Source organism: Homo sapiens, chromosome 9 (assembly GCF_000001405.40).
Source record: "Homo sapiens chromosome 9, GRCh38.p14 Primary Assembly".
NCBI classification, from domain to species: Eukaryota; Metazoa; Chordata; class Mammalia; order Primates; family Hominidae; genus Homo; species Homo sapiens.
Genome location: NC_000009.12, coordinates 35732666 through 35750744, shown reverse-complemented (window position 1 = coordinate 35750744; position 18079 = coordinate 35732666). Strand labels below are relative to the sequence as shown.

The following is an 18079-nucleotide window of genomic DNA, read 5'->3' as shown; positions in this document are numbered from 1 at the left end:
CACATGATTTGGACTCTCCAGGATCAAGCCTCAGGTCACAGAATAGAATTTTCGGTGGAGTAGAAAGGATACACTGGCCCCTCTCACCTGAAAAAGGTAAAAATGACTAATTTAATGACCCATTGTCCAGTACTGAACAAGACTAGCACGGCAAGTGGAGATAGTGAAAGGCTGCCAGGCCCTCCGTCCCTGCTGTGAAATGGGAATAGTCTTCTACCCCTAAAGCAATAGTCATGCTCCCCAACATCCCCAGCATGACAGGGACTATAAGAACAAGAACAATTAACAACTTCACCCATGGGTGACAATGCCTCCACACACACCCTCCGCACCCCCCCTCTCCCAGGCAAATGCCCCTCTCTAACCTCGGTGTGGCAGAAAGACAGTCTGGCTGTCGGGCTGGACATCTGGCTGACTAGAGTCAGGAGGAGGCAGTGCTACTCGACTCTCACTGGCATGGAACTGGCAGTGGATTTGGGCACTGGCCCAGGCCAGGGCCTCACTGTGGGAAAAGGAAAAGGAGGCATCAGAGGTAGTTCCTGACCTCACAAATGCTTTCCCAAGCTCCCTATCACACCATCTTAACCAACAAGGTTAGATGGCTGTCCTAGTGATCAGGAAATCCACAATCCCAAAGAGAAACCATTAAATAAAGAGTAGCAGACTGTGCGTAAAAAGGGGAACGGGGGAGGGGAAGGAAAGCGTACAGCTATGTCATCCACATCTTCTGTTAAAGAGCCCTCTCCTACAATGACAGCACAGTGAGCAAGAGGAGGTGGTGTCGCTACAGGACAACCTGAGCTCTGCCTCAGCCCCAGAGATAATCTGGCTTCTTCCCAGAAGGGCCACCACCTTCAGTGCCAGCATCCCCACCTGGATGCAGAAGTGGCCGTGGGCGGAAGGGGGTTGGTGACGGTCACTACACACTCCAGCGCCTCCCCAGCCAAAAATACAGGACCCCGGCTGAGCTCTGCTACCACTTCAATCATGGCAGCTCCGGAATCAGATCTAGAAGGAAACAAGGCGGGGCGGAGGTCAGCACCTTGACAGGGAGGGGCGTTGCGGTGAGCACCTAGGGCTGAGGGCTGAGGACAGGGGTGGTCAGCACCGTGGTGCCCGAGGGAGCTCCTGGATATAGGAGGGGTAGGCGGGTGGGAGGGAGGCGACTGAAGACTCAGTACTGCCCAGGGGGAGGACATCGCTCTGGGCCCTAGACCCCAGCCCCTGTGCGACGGGTTCTTCTCCCTGGGCACCCCCGCGGAGTTCCCAAACTGGCCTCCGCTCCCCCTTTCCTCAAAGTTCCACGTCCCAGCCCAAGATCACCGCCGCTAGTCACCTCGCATAGTCGACACTAGGGATCGGCACCCCTAGGCCTCATCTGCCCGCCCCTCAGGGACCTGGCTAGGTACGCGGCGGCGGCGGCGGCGGCGGCGTCCGCTGGGCGGTAGAGGCGGGACTTCCCTTCGGTCCCCCACCCTCCGCGGAGTCCCTTCCGGCCGGAAGCGCCCGGCAGGCCAGACCGGAAAGGGCTCGGGTCATCCCGGCGCCCAGGGTCACCTTCCCACGGGCTGGCACCTGGGCGCGGGCGCTGCCCCGGAGCCGGCCGGCGGGACCTGGCGCCCAATCCTGGGGGACCCGGTGCCGTGGCCCAGGGGCCGGGCCGAGGTCCCGGGGGCGGTGCCTTGCGGGCCCGTCCCGGGGCGGTGCCTGGTGGGCTGGCCCCGCGGCTCCTCCCCTCTCTGCGGGCCCAGTCGCCCTTTGGCCGGGCGAGCTAATCGTCGGCTCAATGACGACGAGGCCCGACCCTTCCCGTCCAGGACCTACAGAGACAACCGAAGGAGAGCCCAAGGCGGCTTCTTTGCTGTCGCCGCCCCCACTGAAGCAAGAGCTCCCCGGCTCCACTGAAACACCAGCTCATTTAAGCTTTCCCCAACGCCCGGCCCTCCGGGACGATACCTAACAACGACCGGCGCCCGCATCTGGAATAGGCTGGCGAGATACTTAGTATCCGAGGGCTCGGGACTTGGCGCCATCGAGGTCATGGGGACCCAGGATCCAGGGAACATGGGAACCGGCGTCCCAGCCTCGGAGCAGATAAGCTGTGCCAAAGAGGATCCACAAGTTTATTGCCCTGAAGAGACTGGCGGCACCAAGGATGTGCAGGTTACAGACTGTAAGAGTCCCGAAGACAGCCGACCCCCAAAAGAGACGGACTGCTGCAATCCGGAGGACTCTGGGCAGCTGATGGTTTCCTATGAGGGTAAAGCTATGGGCTACCAGGTGCCTCCCTTTGGCTGGCGCATCTGTCTGGCTCATGAGTTTACAGAGAAGAGGAAACCCTTTCAAGCTAACAACGTCTCCCTAAGCAACATGATAAAGCATATAGGCATGGGCTTGAGGTGAGTAGACCCCATTGCCTAGAATGCCTTTGGCTTCACTTTGTTCCAGCTCAAAACTTCTAGCAGAGGTGGGAAAGGGCAAGAAAGCAGTTGGGCTTCTTGTCTGAGTGAAGCGGTCCCTATCCCTGGCATATTTTAGGCCTGTGGTTTTGGACCGTGAGACCAGGTCACATCTCTTTGCAACACCCTTCCCTCCCAGTGTTTTGTCTTTTCAGAAGGAAAGGGTAGGAACATTTGGTCATGCAATCAGCCTTTCCCATTCAGGCTCTTCTCACATACTGGTTTCCAATGACTTCCCTTTGGGATTAGCTATACTTTGTGGCAAGGTAGGAAAGGATAATCTGGCTGCTGTGATACTAACACAATGTTGTTTTATTTGGGGGTGGGGGGGTCTCAACCCCTTATTTCCCACAAGCAGCTGGGGCATTCTCTGTACCTCATTAGACACACTGTTAGAGTCCCAACACTACTGCTTCTTTCTTCAAGCTTTAGCTCCAGGGAGTAGGTAAGAAGAGCCTCCCTGCCCTCACCTCTGAAGTGATGAGAAGGTGCTGTCATTCTGTTCTGGGATAGAGAGCTCTTGATATTAAGTCATTTATCAGAGAGGCACTGCCATAGATGTAGAACCCATCTAGATCCCCACTGAGTTCAAAGACTAGTGATGAGGAGCCAGACCCATTAACAGGAACAGGTGGATGTGAGGACAGAAAGCATCACCCTGAGGTCATCCTGACTCAGTCTACACAATACACACAGAACTGTGGAGGGAGGCATAAAGCTTGGGAAACCCTGCCCTTACAGTTTCTAGAGTAGGAGACCCTTCATTTCCCCAGTCAGTGCTGTGGGGCTGTGATGGGGAGATCAGTTATCTAACCCTAGCCCTGGGGAGTGGGAAGGGCCTGATGCTGCCTGCACATCTGGCTTTGTTGGTGCCTGTGGGTAGCCTGTAGCAGAGAAGAATCATCCCTCCAGGCTGCTTCTGGAATCAATTCAGTCCAAGTTTGACCCCAAAAGTTTTTGCATCAAAATAGGATCTAGTGTACATAGAGAAGTACACTGAGTTGCATGTGGTAGGAACAATGAGATCAAGAAAAGATGGGCATCCTAGCCTCTTAGCCCTTAAATATGAACTGAGTCATAGAGGCCTGAAGCTGTGCTCAACCCCCTGGACCCTGGCTCCCCATTCCAGGATAGAGTGGGGGGTACTGATACAAGGCTTTTGGAATAGGATGAGTTCCTATGAGGAGAAAGCACAGGTGAGACAAGAATTCTAAGTGATAACTCTTGAGTTGAGGTTGAAATTGTGGAGAAGGCCAAATAGGTCAGGAATGGCCAGCTACCATATTAAGGGAGTAAGAGAGCTCCTAAGATGGAGCTGAACTGTGGGCACTCTGACCAGGAGCTCTAGCAAGACAGAATTCTCTGGGTCTTACCTTCGTAAGAACTCAATTTCAATTGTTCTCCCTTCCAGCCAGAGTCCACTCATTCAATAAATATTTATTGAGTGCTTGTTCCATGCCAGATAGTCCTTTGTTCTGTCTGTCCTCATAGATTGCAGTTACTCTCCCTGGTTGCCCTAATCCTCGGCCACACCCTCCCTCTACCAGTCCTTTCTGGTCTCTAGTTTCAAAGTCCGGTTTTCTCTAAGCTGGCAGAGAGGATTCTCTGCCTTCCTGTCATCCCATCCTTTGTCTTCCCTCTTCTTTCCACCCCTAGAATGTGCTGTCCCTTTTTATTTTATTATTATTTTTTTTTTGAGACAGTCTTGCTCTTGTCACCCAGGCTGGAGTACAATGGTGCAATCTCAGCTCAGTGCAACCTCCGTCTCCTGGGTTCAAGCGATTCTCCTGCCTCAGCCTCCTGAGTAGCTGGGATTGCAGGTGCCTGCCACCACAGCTGGCTAATGTTTTTGTATTTTTAGTAGAGACGGGGTTTCACCACATTGGCCAGGCTGGTCTTGAACTCCTGACCTCACGTGATCCGCCCACCTCGGCCTCTCAAAGTGCTGGGATTACAGGTGTGAGCCACCGTGCCTGGCCGCTGTCCCTATTCATTAATCACATTTCTTCTCCTCTGCTCCAGTCTGTTATCTCTCTTGTGCCCCATCATTTGTATGTTCATTCATCTGTAAAATTGGCAAATATGCATTGACTGCAGACCATATGTCCTACCCTGTGCTTGGACCTGAGGGTAATATTCAGCTAGTCTTTGTCATTGTCCCTTTCCCCAAGGAACTTAAAAGTATGTCAGCCTCACATGAGGAACATTGAAATAACAAGGCAATGTCTGATTAGGAATTGAGATAACAGTTTGTATATATGAGTAATAATCATACCTGTACTTTATGGCTTTCTTATCTATTATGTCATTTGATCTTTCAACCATTTCATTAGATAGCTAGAGCAGGTGGTATCCCCATTTTGTAGATGAGGAAACTGGGACTTAGGGGTTACTTACCCAATTATTTGGTTAGAAGTGGTGTGACTGAACAGTAGGCATAATGTGGCAGTAGGCAGGAGAGTGGAAATGGGAAAGAGTCTGGCAGGGCAGGGGCTACTTAGTGAGGACCCATCTGGAATGAGAATTTGTAGGAAATAAGATTAGAAGATAGGCTGGGACAGATGTCAGAGCCTTGAAAACAGAATCGTTTGCCTATTGAAAACAGCCTCAATCATTTGCCTCTTGGATATAGGGCTGTACCAAGCCCAGGAAAATGTTGGGATTTTTTGAAGGCTTTACCAAGAGCAAAATCAGAAAGCTTCACAGTTTAAATGTTGAATTTAAAAAAAAAAAAAAAAAAGGCTTGAGAGGAAATGTCCAGAAATAAATATAAACACTGATTGTCTATGGGTGAGATTATTTTTTTCCCCCTTTCACCTTTCATAATTAGAAAGAAAAATGATCATTTTAAAAAGAAGAAAGGCCAGAAGCGGTAGCTCACGCCTCTAATCCCAGCACTTTGGGAGGCCGAGGCGGGCGGATCACCTGAGGTCAGGAGTTCAAGACCAGCCTGGCTAACATGGTGAAACCCCATCTCTACTAAAAACACAAAAAAATGTGCCAGGCATGGTGGCGGGCACCTGTAATCCCAGCTACTTGGGAGGCTGAGGCAGAAGAATTTCTTGAACTTGGGAGGCGGAGTTTGCAGTGAGCCAAGACCGAGCCACTGCACTCCAGCCTGGACAACAAGGAACGAAACTCTGTCTCAAAAAAAAAATAATAAATAATAAAAATAAAGATAAGAAAGTTATTCCCAGCAGCCTATGCCTGTTTTGGAGGTAGGGGATTGGGGGCGGAGGCTGTAGGCCAGGAAACCATAAATGGTCCTTTCAGCACGTCAGACAGAAGCTCCTGATGTTGGAAATAAAGCAGTGGTGGTGGTGCTAGAGAGGTAAGGAGAGATCAGAAAGCCCCTTCTGAGGAGAACAAAGGAGAGAAACAAAGCCACTCCTTCACTTCAGCTGGGGTGACTGGGAAGATGAAGGGACCTTGAACTGTATAGAAATCAAGAGGAAGAAAGGTTTGAAAGCAGATGTCCTTGGGACATTTAATGGGAGGTCACAGAGAGAGGCAGGTGACTCAGCCTGTGAACAGCTGCCCACCTGCCCCCTTCCACTCACATTGCCTCTTGCTCCTCAGGTACCTGCAGTGGTGGTACCGGAAGACCCATGTGGAAAAGAAGACACCTTTCATCGACATGATCAATTCTGTACCCCTAAGACAGATTTATGGTGAGCCCCACCCCATCTCTGCTCTGCTCAGAGAAGGCCTAGCCTCCAGGTCTACCACAGTTAGGAAGAGACTTCCAGCTTATGCAAATTGCACTGTTCCATCCCCTAGGTTTTCAGAGGAACCAGGCTTTATAGTCTAGAAAGTTAGAAATGGGCTTATTTTCCTCTCCCAATACCCCACTAACCACCCTGATTTCTCTAGGTTGTCCCTTGGGTGGCATCGGGGGAGGCACTATTACCCGTGGCTGGAGAGGCCAGTTCTGTCGTTGGCAGCTTAACCCTGGAATGTATCAGCACCGGACAGTCATCGCTGACCAAGTAAGAGCCAGGAGGTGGAGAGGCCAGGACAATACCTCCCCAGGCCAAGAAGGAAGGACCTCTTGGCTAGTGTAGAAGGTAGCAGTTAGATGTGAATAAGATTCAATCTAATAAGTACTCTCGGGATGCTTCCTGTGTGCCCAGCCCTGAGCTAGGATATACCGTAGGAATAAGACACACACAAGCACACATTCCTTGAAAGAGTAAACAGATCTGGCATTTCTCTAGTAAATGCCTCCTGTCTACCTCACTGCCCCAACCCAACTAGCTGAGGCAGCCCCCAACCACAGAGAATGCAGAGAATTCCCAAATCACTTAACCTGCCTGAAAGAACATTTTGTAGGACTGGAAGGGAAAAGAAAACCCAAAGTCTATAAACTCATGGGAAAAAAAGACACGTAGTACAAGGTTCCTCACCCTGATTGAGGAACCTTCACCAAAGTTCAGCTCCTCTGCTGATCACTCCCCTGGAGGTCTCCTGGCTTAGGGTCTAAAAAGCTCCTTCTCTCCCAGGCTTAGATCTCTAGCCTTCTTCCCTCTTCTGAAGCTTCACTTTTTTCCTTTTGCTCCTGCATCACATCTGGGCCTTAAATTGCCAGAAGTATGTGTCCTGCCTCTCATCATCTCTCTCTAGTTGACCGCCCCTTTAGAGTTGCCTAGGAAGTTCCTCTTTCTTGGCTCCAGCATTCAGCCTCATCTTCAAAGGAAAAATGACTAGCAAATCTTTAGTCCAATTAATGACAATACCCTTCCTGGTTCACGTTTACCAGCCCTGCCCATGTCCCAAGATCCCTCTCTGCCTCATCCCTTAGGTATCCTGAGGGGAATGGCTTCCAGAATTGTGACTCTACAATTAAAGTAATTATTGCATGCTTAACATGTGCTAGACACTGTGCTAGGCTCTTTGTATACTGTTTAATATTAAAAACAATCCTACAAGGGAAGTACCACTATTATGCTCATTTTGCAGATGAGGACACTAAGATCCAGAGAGGTTTAGTAACATGCGCAAGGTCACAAGGTTGGTAAATGGAAAGGTTGGGATTCAGAACCATTTCTTTCTGGGGTGAAGAGCTTGTGGTCTTAACCATTATGTACCATTCCAACAAAATGAAAAATTATTTTATACAGTTGTCCCTCAGTATCCATGGGGGGTTGGGCCCAGGACCTGCTATCCGAGGATGCTCAAGTCTTTGATTTGAAATGGCTTATAGTATTTGCAAATAACCATTGCACATCCTCCTATATACTTTAAATCATCTGTAGATTACTTATAATACCTCATACATTGTTACATAAACCCTTGTTGTGCCGTACAGTAAATAAAGTGTGTACATATTCGGTACAGACACAACTTTTTTTCCACATATTTTAGATTTGGTTGGTTGAATCCACTGATGTGGAACTCACAGATATGGAGAGCCCACTGTATACAATAAAAATATTTGACATAGTTTGAACCAGGGAAAGGGATATTAATCCCTCATAGCTCCTACCCTCCAAGAGCTAAAACTTTTTTTGAGAAAATAAGACTTAGGGGAAATGGAGACTGTGAGACCACATCAGTGCTAAAAGGAGAGGGGTGGATAGTATACTGTGGAAAAAGGGACGGTGCTGCAGATTTCGCTCATTCCCTCCACATACATGCCAACTCTGAAGAAGGGTGCATCAGTGAATTAAAAAATGTCCCTACCCTCAGAAGAATCCATACAGCAGTCAGGGACACAGAATGGTCAGTCAATACATTATAACATAATACACCAAATGCTAGAATAGAAGGGGAGGGGGGCACACATAATGACTCACTGCTGGAAGAAGTAGAGGAGGAAGAGATGGCTTTTGACCTAGGCTTTGAAGGATGAGAGGTTTCACCAGATAGCGAACAAGCATGAGCACAGGCATGGAGGAGAGAATGTAGTGTGCTCAAGGAACAGTGAGTGTTTTTATATGAACAGACTATAGGTGCTTGAACAGGTGATGAGTCTGATGGGCAGGGAGAGGCCAGCTCAAGAAGGGCCTTGAAAGCCAGGCAAGAGTTGAGACTTTAGCCTGAGGGCCATGGGGAGTCACTGAAACATCCTAACCAAGGACTGACATATCTTGATTTGCCTGTGAGAAAGATCACTCTGCTACCCAGATGAAAAGGGCCACAGAAAAAGCAGGAGATTGGGCTTAAGTGAGGTGCTAACACCACCGTAGTGGAGAAGGGAGAGAAAGCTTGGGAGATAGATGGATGGGGAGGTAGCAGGACTTGGTGATTCACTGAGCCTGGGGGATGACTTGAAGCTGATGGTGCAGTGGTAACAGTTGCAGGCTCTGAAAGGGGAGGAGCTGATTTGAGGAGAGGGAAGACTTAGTCTGTGGTCCCTGTGGTTTACCCCGTTCCAGCCTATCTGCCCTCTTAAGTTCACAGTGTGCCTGCGTCGGGAAGGGCAGACTGTGTACCAGCAAGTCCTGTCCCTGGAGCGCCCAAGTGTCCTCCGCAGCTGGAACTGGGGCCTGTGTGGGTACTTTGCTTTCTACCATGCCCTCTATCCCCGAGCCTGGACTGTCTATCAGCTTCCTGGCCAGAATGTCACCCTCACCTGCCGTCAGATCACACCCATCTTGCCCCATGACTACCAGGTGAGGCCCCCACATCTGTATCTTCCATTGCCCTCCCTTCCCCAGGACCTGCCTCTGCTAGAAACTGCATGGCCTGCGAGGCGCGGTAGCTCACGCCTGTAATCCCAACACTTTGGGAGGCCAAGGCAGGCGGATCATGAGATCAGGAGATCGAGACCATCCTGGCTAACACGTGAAACCCCATATCTACTAAAAATACAAAAAAAAAAATTAGCTGGGCGTTGTGGCAGGCACCTGTAGTCCCAGCTACTCGGGAGGCTGAGGCAGGATAATGGTGTGAACCCGGGAGGCGGAGCTTGCAGTGAGCCGAGATTGCGCCACCGCACCCCCCAAAAAAAAAAAAAAAGAAACTGCATGGCCTGTGAAAGGGAGGTTGGAGCCATGAACATCACACTGGCTTCCCAGAACCACCGCCCAACTGGTTCTGGTCTTCTATATTCCCTGCTAGGCAGCTTGCCTGGGAATATGGGGAGATGCAAGTGGACAAAAGAAGAGTACACTGGGGAGTATTTGAGTCAGGTCCTCTGTGTGCCCAGGACTGATCCTAGCAGAGTGGGGTCAGGAGGCGCTCTACTGGGACCGTCTGAGTCTAATCTTCTGCCCCCAGGACAGCAGCCTGCCTGTAGGAGTCTTTGTGTGGGATGTGGAAAATGAAGGGGACGAAGCTCTAGATGTGTCCATCATGTTCTCCATGCGGAATGGACTGGGTGGTGGAGACGATGCCCCAGGGGGTTTGTGGAATGAGCCCTTCTGTCTGGAGCGTAGCGGGGAAACTGTCCGGGGGCTGCTCCTGCATCATCCAACCCTTCCAAACCCCTACACGATGGCTGTGGCTGCACGAGTCACGGTAAGGAAAGAGCCTGCCCTATACCTTAGCCCCTGAACCCCACCTCCACCCCAGCATGGTCTCTTCATCCACCCTCATCATACTCCTGTAAGCCCCTGGGCCTGGGAGGTTAAGAGTAAGTAAGAGGAGCTGGGGAGCTAGCCGGGACCCAGTGTACTCGTGGAGCCTGCCCTCACAGTCCCTGACCCCTTCACAGGCAGCTACCACGGTAACCCACATCACAGCCTTTGACCCTGACAGCACGGGGCAGCAGGTGTGGCAGGATCTACTTCAGGATGGACAGCTGGACTCTCCCACTGGTGATGGGGGGTCTGACTGGGAGATGGTGGGAAGAGAGGTTGTCCCTGTCTTGGGACCAGGGGTGGGAGGCCTGGTAATAAGTAGGCCTTGTTTCCATGTTAGGGATCCCTATCCCTGGGGCTGAAGGGGCTCCTGTCCTGAATTCTCTTGTGTTTCTCTCAGGCCAAAGCACCCCTACGCAGAAAGGAGTAGGCATTGCTGGAGCTGTGTGTGTTTCCAGCAAGTTGCGACCTCGAGGCCAGTGCCGCCTGGAGTTTTCACTGGCTTGGGACATGCCCAGGATCATGTTTGGAGCTAAAGGCCAAGTCCACTACAGGTGAGGGGACCAAGAAAGTGTAAGGATCCAGAGTGCTGGGGCTCTGACCTGGGGCTTGTGTTCATCCTTCCCCTTCCCACCCCAGGCGGTATACAAGGTTCTTTGGCCAGGATGGAGATGCAGCACCTGCCCTCAGCCACTATGCACTGTGCCGATACGCAGAGTGGGAAGAGAGGATCTCAGCTTGGCAGAGCCCGGTATTGGATGACAGGTGCCAGTGGGGCCCATTTCTTGCCTTTCTCCTGGGCACTCACTCCAAATGGGACTCCTCGATTTACTCTCCACCCACCAAAGTCAGTAGACTTGCACTGGGATTCATTTGATGATCCCACTCTGCTGAACCCCCAAATCCTTTCCATCTTGGGAGGTACATGTTCCTTAAACCATTTCCTCCTCCTCGCTTCCCAGATCACTGCCTGCCTGGTACAAATCTGCGCTGTTCAATGAACTATACTTCCTGGCTGATGGAGGCACAGTGTGGCTGGAAGTTCTTGAGGACTCCCTACCAGAGGAGCTGGGCAGAAACATGTGTCACCTCCGCCCCACCCTACGGGACTACGGTCGATTTGGCTACCTTGAGGGTACAGGATGCTGGTGGGCTGGGATATGGCAGGCCATCCCCAAGTCAGGATGATGGATTTGCCTACCCCAGGGTATTGGTTAGGATGAGGGGGTGTTGGGTGTGGACTAGTAACAATGCCCCACCTCTAAATCTAGAGGACAAGCTACAGAGGGGTTTGAAGGGGAAGCAGGAATTCTGGCAACAGTGTGTCTCATTCATTCCTCCAGGCCAGGAGTACCGCATGTACAACACATATGATGTCCACTTTTATGCTTCCTTTGCCCTCATCATGCTCTGGCCCAAACTTGAGCTCAGCCTACAGTATGACATGGGTGAGGATCCCTTTTGTGCCGCTTCTGCCCTCTTGGCTCCCCATACCCCCGAACTTCTGTGGTCCCTCAGATTGTCTCTTCTTTCCCTTCCCTTCATACGTATCTGCATGCTGCTTACTGGTTCCCCACTGCAGTCACACACATAGCTGTGTGCCCCTCCTCAGGCATGCCCATTCCCTGCCTCCCTTCTGTGTCTCTCCCCCAGCTCTGGCCACTCTCAGGGAGGACCTGACACGGCGACGGTACCTGATGAGTGGGGTGATGGCACCTGTGAAAAGGAGGAACGTCATCCCCCATGATATTGGGGACCCAGGTAAAAGTCCACCCCAAGGTCAGCTTCCCTCCCTCAACTTTTGCACCCTCTACCCTATCCACCAATGCAAGTGACCCAAGTCCCCTCCTCTCCCACAGATGATGAACCATGGCTCCGCGTCAATGCATATTTAATCCATGATACTGCTGATTGGAAGGACCTGAACCTGAAGTTTGTGCTGCAGGTTTATCGGGACTATTACCTCACGGGTGATCAAAACTTCCTGAAGGACATGTGGCCTGTGTGTCTAGTAAGGGATGCACATGCAGTGGCCAGTGTGCCAGGGGTATGGTTGGTGTCTGGGAAGAGCCTAGCTGGTTGTTGCCTTTCCTCGGTACCTAGGTCTTCAACATCTTGGTCCCTCTCTAGGCTGTGATGGAATCTGAAATGAAGTTTGACAAGGACCATGATGGACTCATTGAAAATGGAGGCTATGCAGACCAGACCTATGATGGATGGGTGACCACAGGCCCCAGGTTAGCGGGTAGGGGTTTCCAGGAGGCCTGAGGTGAGAAACTGGGCAACAAGGGATTGTAGGGCTCAAGAAAGAATGACTCATTGTCTATTACACGGCATGGGAGCAGCTGGAGCTGCCAGTCTGACCCCCAAACCCATGTCCCTGATCAGTGCTTACTGTGGAGGGCTGTGGCTGGCAGCTGTGGCTGTGATGGTCCAGATGGCTGCTCTGTGTGGGGCACAGGACATCCAGGATAAGTTTTCTTCTATCCTCAGCCGGGGCCAAGAAGCCTATGAGAGACTGCTGTGGAATGGTGAGTTCGGGGAGCCTAAGTAGTCTTAAGGCAGCTGAGAGGACACCAGGAGCCTTATTTTTCTCTTCCTCGACTCCAGGCCGCTATTACAACTATGACAGCAGCTCTCGGCCTCAGTCTCGTAGTGTTATGTCTGACCAGTGTGCTGGACAGTGGTTCCTGAAGGCCTGTGGCCTAGGAGAAGGAGACACTGAGGTGAGAGAGGAGGAGGAGCAGCCAGAGAGAAAAATGGGTTTTCCCTGGAGGTGGGAAGTAAGTATATGAGACCATGTTCCTGCCCTTGCCCCTCCAGGTGTTTCCTACCCAACATGTGGTCCGTGCTCTCCAAACTATCTTTGAGCTGAACGTCCAGGCCTTTGCAGGAGGGGCCATGGGGGCTGTGAATGGGATGCAGCCCCATGGTGTCCCTGATAAATCCAGTGTGCAGTCTGATGAAGTCTGGGTGGGTGTGGTCTACGGGCTGGCAGCTACCATGATCCAAGAGGTAATGCACTCCTTTTCCCATCTCTCCACCATCTGTATCCTGGCCCAGAAAACTTCCTCAACCACCAAATTTCTTCAAGGCATAACCCAATGCCATCTTGTCCGTCTATAAAGCCTCCCATTTTTCCCTGGTATGCATTCCAGCTCCTGCCTTCAGGCTTCTGTCTGTGGGTCATAGTTATCTCCTCCACTTGCTGGGAGCTCCTTGAAGGCAAAGACTCTACTGCCTCCATCTATCCAGTGGAAGTGGCTCTTCAGAGGGTGCCAAGTTAGTATGTATGACTGTCATCTCTCCCAACAGGGCCTGACTTGGGAGGGCTTCCAGACAGCTGAAGGCTGCTACCGTACCGTGTGGGAGCGCCTGGGTCTGGCCTTCCAGACCCCAGAGGCATACTGCCAGCAGCGAGTGTTCCGCTCACTGGCCTACATGCGGCCACTGAGCATATGGGCCATGCAGCTAGCCCTGCAACAGCAGCAGCACAAAAAGGCCTCCTGGCCAAAAGTCAAACAGGGCACAGGACTAAGGACAGGGCCTATGTTTGGACCAAAGGAAGCCATGGCAAACCTGAGCCCAGAGTGAGCCGTCTGAACTGTGGGAGGGAAGTGCTAACAGCCCAGCCTCCAGCCTGGCCTTTCCTCCTTCCCCTCTGAACCTCCTGCAACCCTGAGCCATCAGGACAATCATACCCCTTCCCTTCTCTCCACCCAATTGTGCCAGTAAATGGGGGTTGAGGGTGACCTAGGCAGCATTAGAATCACTTATTTATTTCTTTCCTCACCTGTTCCCTGACTGCGTGAAATGTTCAGGGAGGTCAGTTGATTTCCCCAGGTACATTCATGGTGTGACAGACACATGGGTACAAATAAAAGACCCAGAAAGCCATTAAGTGTGGTGTGTTTGAGCCCTCAGTCGTCCTGACAGGGCACAGGAGCTGCGGCCAGCCCTTGCCCACCGCTTTTTATTTGGACACAGATGGGGAGCCCCCCAGGCTCCTGCTGAGACCCCCCACATATCCTCATATCTAGCCTGAGTATCTGTCCTGCAAAATGACAGAGGGGCTACCAGTAGGAAGCCATCCTCCCTTCCTTGTGAGATTTGCCTGCAGGGGGAGGATGGGACCTCGGCAGAGAGGCTCTGAGAAGAGGTCAGGGAATGGCCACTCCAGGGGAGGCTCTGCACTGGGAGCCTGAGGCATGTAATGCAGCAGGCAGGAAGTGTTGCCAGGGGCCTGGAGTACACAGTCTGAGCCGTCCAACCACTGGTGTGTGCTGTCTTTCGGCACTTCTGACTGCAGGGCAGGCAGCTCCAGCTGGTAAGGGTCCTCACTGGGGAGGGCACGAAGCTGGCGGGACAACACTGAGGAGACAAAGAATCTTCAGAGGCCAACCCAGACCTCTCCCCTTGCCCTGTCTGAGAGCTATCCTTAAGCCTCTTACCTCCATGCTCAGCTGGCAGGCTCCCCCTTGTGTCAGAGGAGTACATAGCAGGTACAAGGAGGAGGCAGAAGGAGACTAGTAGGACCTAGAGCACAGGAAAAAGGAGATGAAGAAGGGCTCTGGATTGCCCTGTCCCCACCAACTGAGAAAAGGATTTCTCCCCTCATCACCATCCTCACCAAGATGCAGGTGCTGCTGCTGCTGGTTTTGTTTGATATCTCAATCACCATGGCCTGGAGTTTCCTCAGTTGATCTAGAAGGGACCTAGAGGAAGAGAGGGGCCAATAGTGAGCATCCCCTGGCCTAGCATCCTGAGACACAGTGAAACTCCTGTTCAGGCCACCTCCTCCATCTCTGCACTGGATCCTCTCTCTTACTTTTCATTCTATTTTTGCAAACGACTTCTTCCTCTCTGGACAAAATGCCTGAAGTTCCTCATTAAAACAACAACAACAACAAAAAGCAAAAACAAAACAAAACAAAAAAACTCTGCCAGGACTTAACCTCCTTTGCGAATATCATCAGTCGTTCCCCACTGTCTGATCAGCTATGCACATAATCCTCACCAGGCATTTTCTATGTTCTCTACCTTCTGTCCCAGCTCATGTGTGTTAAGAGTTCCAGCCCAAGATGACTATGCTGGACTAGTCCTCTTGCCTAGGATGCTTTCTCTCTGCCTAGAATGCTTTCCCAACCCAACCCCAGAATCCTAACTACTATGAAAGCCCATGACGTCTTTCTTACCCCCTTTCTTTTTCTTGGTACTTAACTTATTCTTAGTTACTTGTAAATGTATTCCTCACTACTGGGAGCTTCTTGGAATCAGAGACCTAGTGAAGGCAGCTGCCCAGTTAGAAATCAAGTGTAGGGCAGGGGAAAGAGTGAGAAAGCATTAAATGAGGGGCATAGGAAGGGAATGGTTTGGAGGGATACTTACAAATTCTGTTCCTCCAGAAGCTGTACTTTGTTCTGAAGCTCCATATTCTGGGCTGTGTATTTCAAGACCCTGGGGGAAATAACAAAGATACGGGGATATGGCCTGTATCCTCCCTTCAAAAACCTAATACTTACAACAGAGTCCCTCTCCCTTTCATACCTGCTCTCTAAACCCCCAACATACACCTTCTTTTTCCTGCGGCTCTCTTGAGCAGATCTTTTATTTCGAATCTTCCTCCGCACACGTTTCAGAATTTGTTCCTCTGTCTGAAAGGAAACAGGGAAAGGGATATCATTAGAGGAACTCTAGAAAAAGGAGTTGAAACGCAACTGAGATCAATCTCTTTCCAATACAGAAATCCCTTCTACAGCTTCCCTGACCAACAGGCATTCAGATTCTTTCTGAATGCCTCCACGGACCAGGTGTTAACCCTAACAAGCCAGACCATTTTAAACTATTAAAAAAAAAACTGGTCGGGCAGTATTCAGGCGACGTGGCTCATGCCTGTAATCCCAACACTTTGGGGAGCTAAGACAGGAGGACCGGTTGAGCCCAGGAGTTTGAGACCAGCCTGAGCAACATAGTGAGACCTTGTCTCTACTAAAAATAAAAAATTAGCCGGGTGTGGTGGCACATGCCTGTGGTCCCTGCTACTCAGGAGACTGAGGAAGGAGGATCACTTGAGCCTGAGAGGTTGAAGCTGTAGTGAGCCATGATCTCGCCACTATTCTCCAACCTGGGCAATAAAGCAAGAACCTGTCTTCAAACAAGCAAATAAAAACTTCCTTATCCTGAACCAACAGCTGCCTCCTTATAATTTCTATCCGTTGGACTTACCTAGTATCTCTGGGGCCAAATAGAATAAACCCTGTTTAGCTATTTTAAGGCACTTAACATTTCCTCAGAGCTTAAAGAAAAAAAAAAAGACAAAATTTTTAACTCATCTTCTCAGGATAGACTGCATCCTCTTAGTATCTGTCAAAGATGTGCTCTAGCCAGTATCAAGGAAAGCAAGAGAGTGACTTGTAGAGACAATAACTCTATTGCTACAGTTTCCAAATCCCATGAACTTTCTTAGTAGCCACATCACACTGCTGACTCATCTTGTACTTTGAAGAAATTAAAATTCTTCACTTTGGGAGGCCAAGGTGGGTAGATCACTTGAGCCCAGGAGTTCGAGACCAGCCTGGCAACAAGGCAAAACCCCATTTCTACTAAAAATACCAAAAAAAAAATTGCCGGGCAGGGTAGTGTGCACCTGTAGTCTCAGCTACTCGGGAGGCTGAGGTGGGAGAATCACCTAAGCCCAGAAAGTCAAGGCTGCAGTGAGCCATGATCACATCAGTGCACTCCAGCCTGGGCAACAGAGCAAGACCTTGTCAAAAAATATATATATATTCCTGTAACCTTTCTATTAATGAGCACTGATTTCATCATAGTACCCCAGTACTCTGCTTGTGAAGTTGCCACTCATTGCTTAAAACTGAAAACTAAGGATTTTACATTTATTCATGTACTGCTTAGTCCAACCCTGTTGAACTCTCTAAACAGTTCTACCATTCAGCAAGAGGTGGATTACTATGAAGCCAACGAAGTGTCAAGGCCCTTCACTTACACAGTCCTTTCCAAGGCCCAATACTAATGTTGCACTGATAATTTTGAGTTATTTTTTTAACAGAACACCAAAATTTGTATAAGCCCAACAAAAACGAGGATCTGCCCTTGCATCTGGCATATTGTGTACCTGCCTCAACTTCCTATTAGCAATAAATCTACTAAGTTTCTCACCTCAATCCTTTTTTAAAGTTATTGATATAAAGTTAACAGAATTTGCCTACTTGGGACTTTTAATCCCTTTTCAGCCTTTGTTCAACCAATGAGAGTCTTACCTTAGTGAGAGGAAGTGTCTCAGGCAGAATAAGCCCCTCCTTCTCCAATAGACTCTTCTCCTCATCTGTCAGTACTAGCCTAGCAATCTCCTAGGGTAACAAGAAAGTGGACGGCAGTTGCATGGGGATGTCAGAGAGGAATGGGGAATCCTGCCCCCACCTGGGGAATGTGAGAGTAATCTCCTGAAAATCAAGTCAAGTACCTGCTCTGCCAGCTCCTCCATATGCTGTGGAGTCATCTGGGTCCCCTCTTTTCTACAGCTCTCACTCTCTGCAAAAGGGAAAGTATGAATAGCCAGGCCCATGAACCCTGTCCTCCCCGCAAACTTATTTCAGACTCACCTAGATCCATAGAGACAGTTTCCCGTGGGAGGGAGTAGGTGTGGTCATGGTGGACAAGGCAGGGGTTGGAGGAGCTGAGAATGTTCAACGACGCTGGGGGACTCAGCAGGGAGCACAGCAAATCATCTACTTCCCAGTCGCTCGGTACCTGCGCAGGGTTCCAATGAACAGGCCTTGACCTTATCACCATCACCTGACTTCATGGACATCCCACGCTTTCCCCAGTCAGAACCCCAACCTACCTCAGAAAGCGGCAGCGCCCAGTCCAGTGGGGCCCTCACGGCCTCATCGGGTGCCGTCCCCAAATCTCCACTTTCCTCTAGCAGGAAGGCCAGCAGGTCTTGGTCACCAGCATCCAATTCCAGCTCCATTTGGGACAACTACGGAAAGGGTGGGCCACCGGGCCCCAACGTCCGAAGCCCAGACACGAGCCCCAGGCCAGCTGTAGGCCTCGGGCACCTATCCACTGTCCCTCTAC

The 18079-nt window shown here is 50.6% G+C and overlaps 3 protein-coding genes and 1 non-coding gene across 19 annotated transcripts in view, besides 4 other annotated features; 1 reads left to right on the top strand and 3 right to left on the bottom strand.

The window, feature by feature from the left end:
• Positions 1–1458, bottom strand: part of RGP1 (RGP1 partner of RAB6A GEF complex) — a 41142-nt gene extending 39684 nt beyond the window's left edge. For all 3 annotated transcript variants that reach the window (XR_007061382.1, XR_007061383.1, NM_001080496.3), the window contains exons 1-4: positions 1337–1458; positions 874–1008; positions 366–502; positions 4–87 (exon numbers count right to left, since the gene is read on the bottom strand). Coding sequence is in view for 1 of the 3 variants with exons in the window: in NM_001080496.3 (NP_001073965.2) it covers positions 4–87; positions 366–502; positions 874–989 (337 nt within the window). In the remaining 2 variants the exon portion in view is untranslated. The remainder of the gene's footprint in view (positions 1–3; positions 88–365; positions 503–873; positions 1009–1336) is intronic.
• Positions 1169–1218: a silencer, noted in NCBI's record as "silent region_19878". NCBI's record gives its function as "represses an Ori minimal core promoter by ATAC-STARR-seq in GM12878 lymphoblastoid cells {active_cell/tissue: GM12878}" and the evidence as "EXISTENCE:reporter gene assay evidence [ECO:0000049][PMID:35858748]".
• Positions 1249–1298: a silencer, noted in NCBI's record as "silent region_19877". NCBI's record gives its function as "represses an Ori minimal core promoter by ATAC-STARR-seq in GM12878 lymphoblastoid cells {active_cell/tissue: GM12878}" and the evidence as "EXISTENCE:reporter gene assay evidence [ECO:0000049][PMID:35858748]".
• Positions 1419–1818: a silencer, noted in NCBI's record as "silent region_19876". NCBI's record gives its function as "represses an Ori minimal core promoter by ATAC-STARR-seq in GM12878 lymphoblastoid cells {active_cell/tissue: GM12878}" and the evidence as "EXISTENCE:reporter gene assay evidence [ECO:0000049][PMID:35858748]".
• Positions 1517–13879, top strand: GBA2 (glucosylceramidase beta 2). 14 transcript variants are annotated; one of them, XM_017014937.3, is made up of 17 exons: positions 1517–2399; positions 6039–6130; positions 6333–6448; positions 8855–9073; positions 9681–9920; positions 10117–10219; positions 10383–10536; positions 10622–10747; positions 10945–11117; positions 11326–11430; positions 11636–11743; positions 11842–11927; positions 12113–12219; positions 12371–12513; positions 12593–12708; positions 12806–12997; positions 13298–13879. In XM_017014937.3, the coding sequence occupies exons 1-17, from the start codon at positions 2041–2043 to the stop codon at positions 13574–13576; spliced, it is 2718 nt and encodes a 905-aa protein (XP_016870426.1). In that variant the 5' UTR covers positions 1517–2040; the 3' UTR covers positions 13577–13879. The 14 variants fall into 14 exon arrangements, with proteins under 14 accessions (XP_016870426.1, XP_016870428.1, NP_065995.1 ...); XM_017014939.3 differs by having other exon boundaries at positions 13141–13879; NM_020944.3 differs by having other exon boundaries at positions 11842–11993.
• On the bottom strand, positions 13746–18079 carry CREB3 (cAMP responsive element binding protein 3). Its single transcript, NM_006368.5, has 9 exons — positions 17844–18079; positions 17602–17749; positions 17463–17530; positions 17260–17349; positions 15530–15636; positions 15371–15439; positions 14613–14697; positions 14434–14518; positions 13746–14353 (listed from the first exon to the last, which is right to left on the bottom strand). The coding sequence occupies exons 1-9, from the start codon at positions 17970–17972 to the stop codon at positions 14019–14021; spliced, it is 1116 nt and encodes a 371-aa protein (NP_006359.3). The 5' UTR covers positions 17973–18079; the 3' UTR covers positions 13746–14018.
• Positions 17750–17823, bottom strand: MIR6853 (microRNA 6853). The gene has a single exon (NR_106912.1). It is a non-coding gene; the product is annotated as a microRNA 6853 (primary transcript).
• Positions 17954–18043: an enhancer, noted in NCBI's record as "active region_28336". NCBI's record gives its function as "activates an Ori minimal core promoter by ATAC-STARR-seq in GM12878 lymphoblastoid cells {active_cell/tissue: GM12878}" and the evidence as "EXISTENCE:reporter gene assay evidence [ECO:0000049][PMID:35858748]".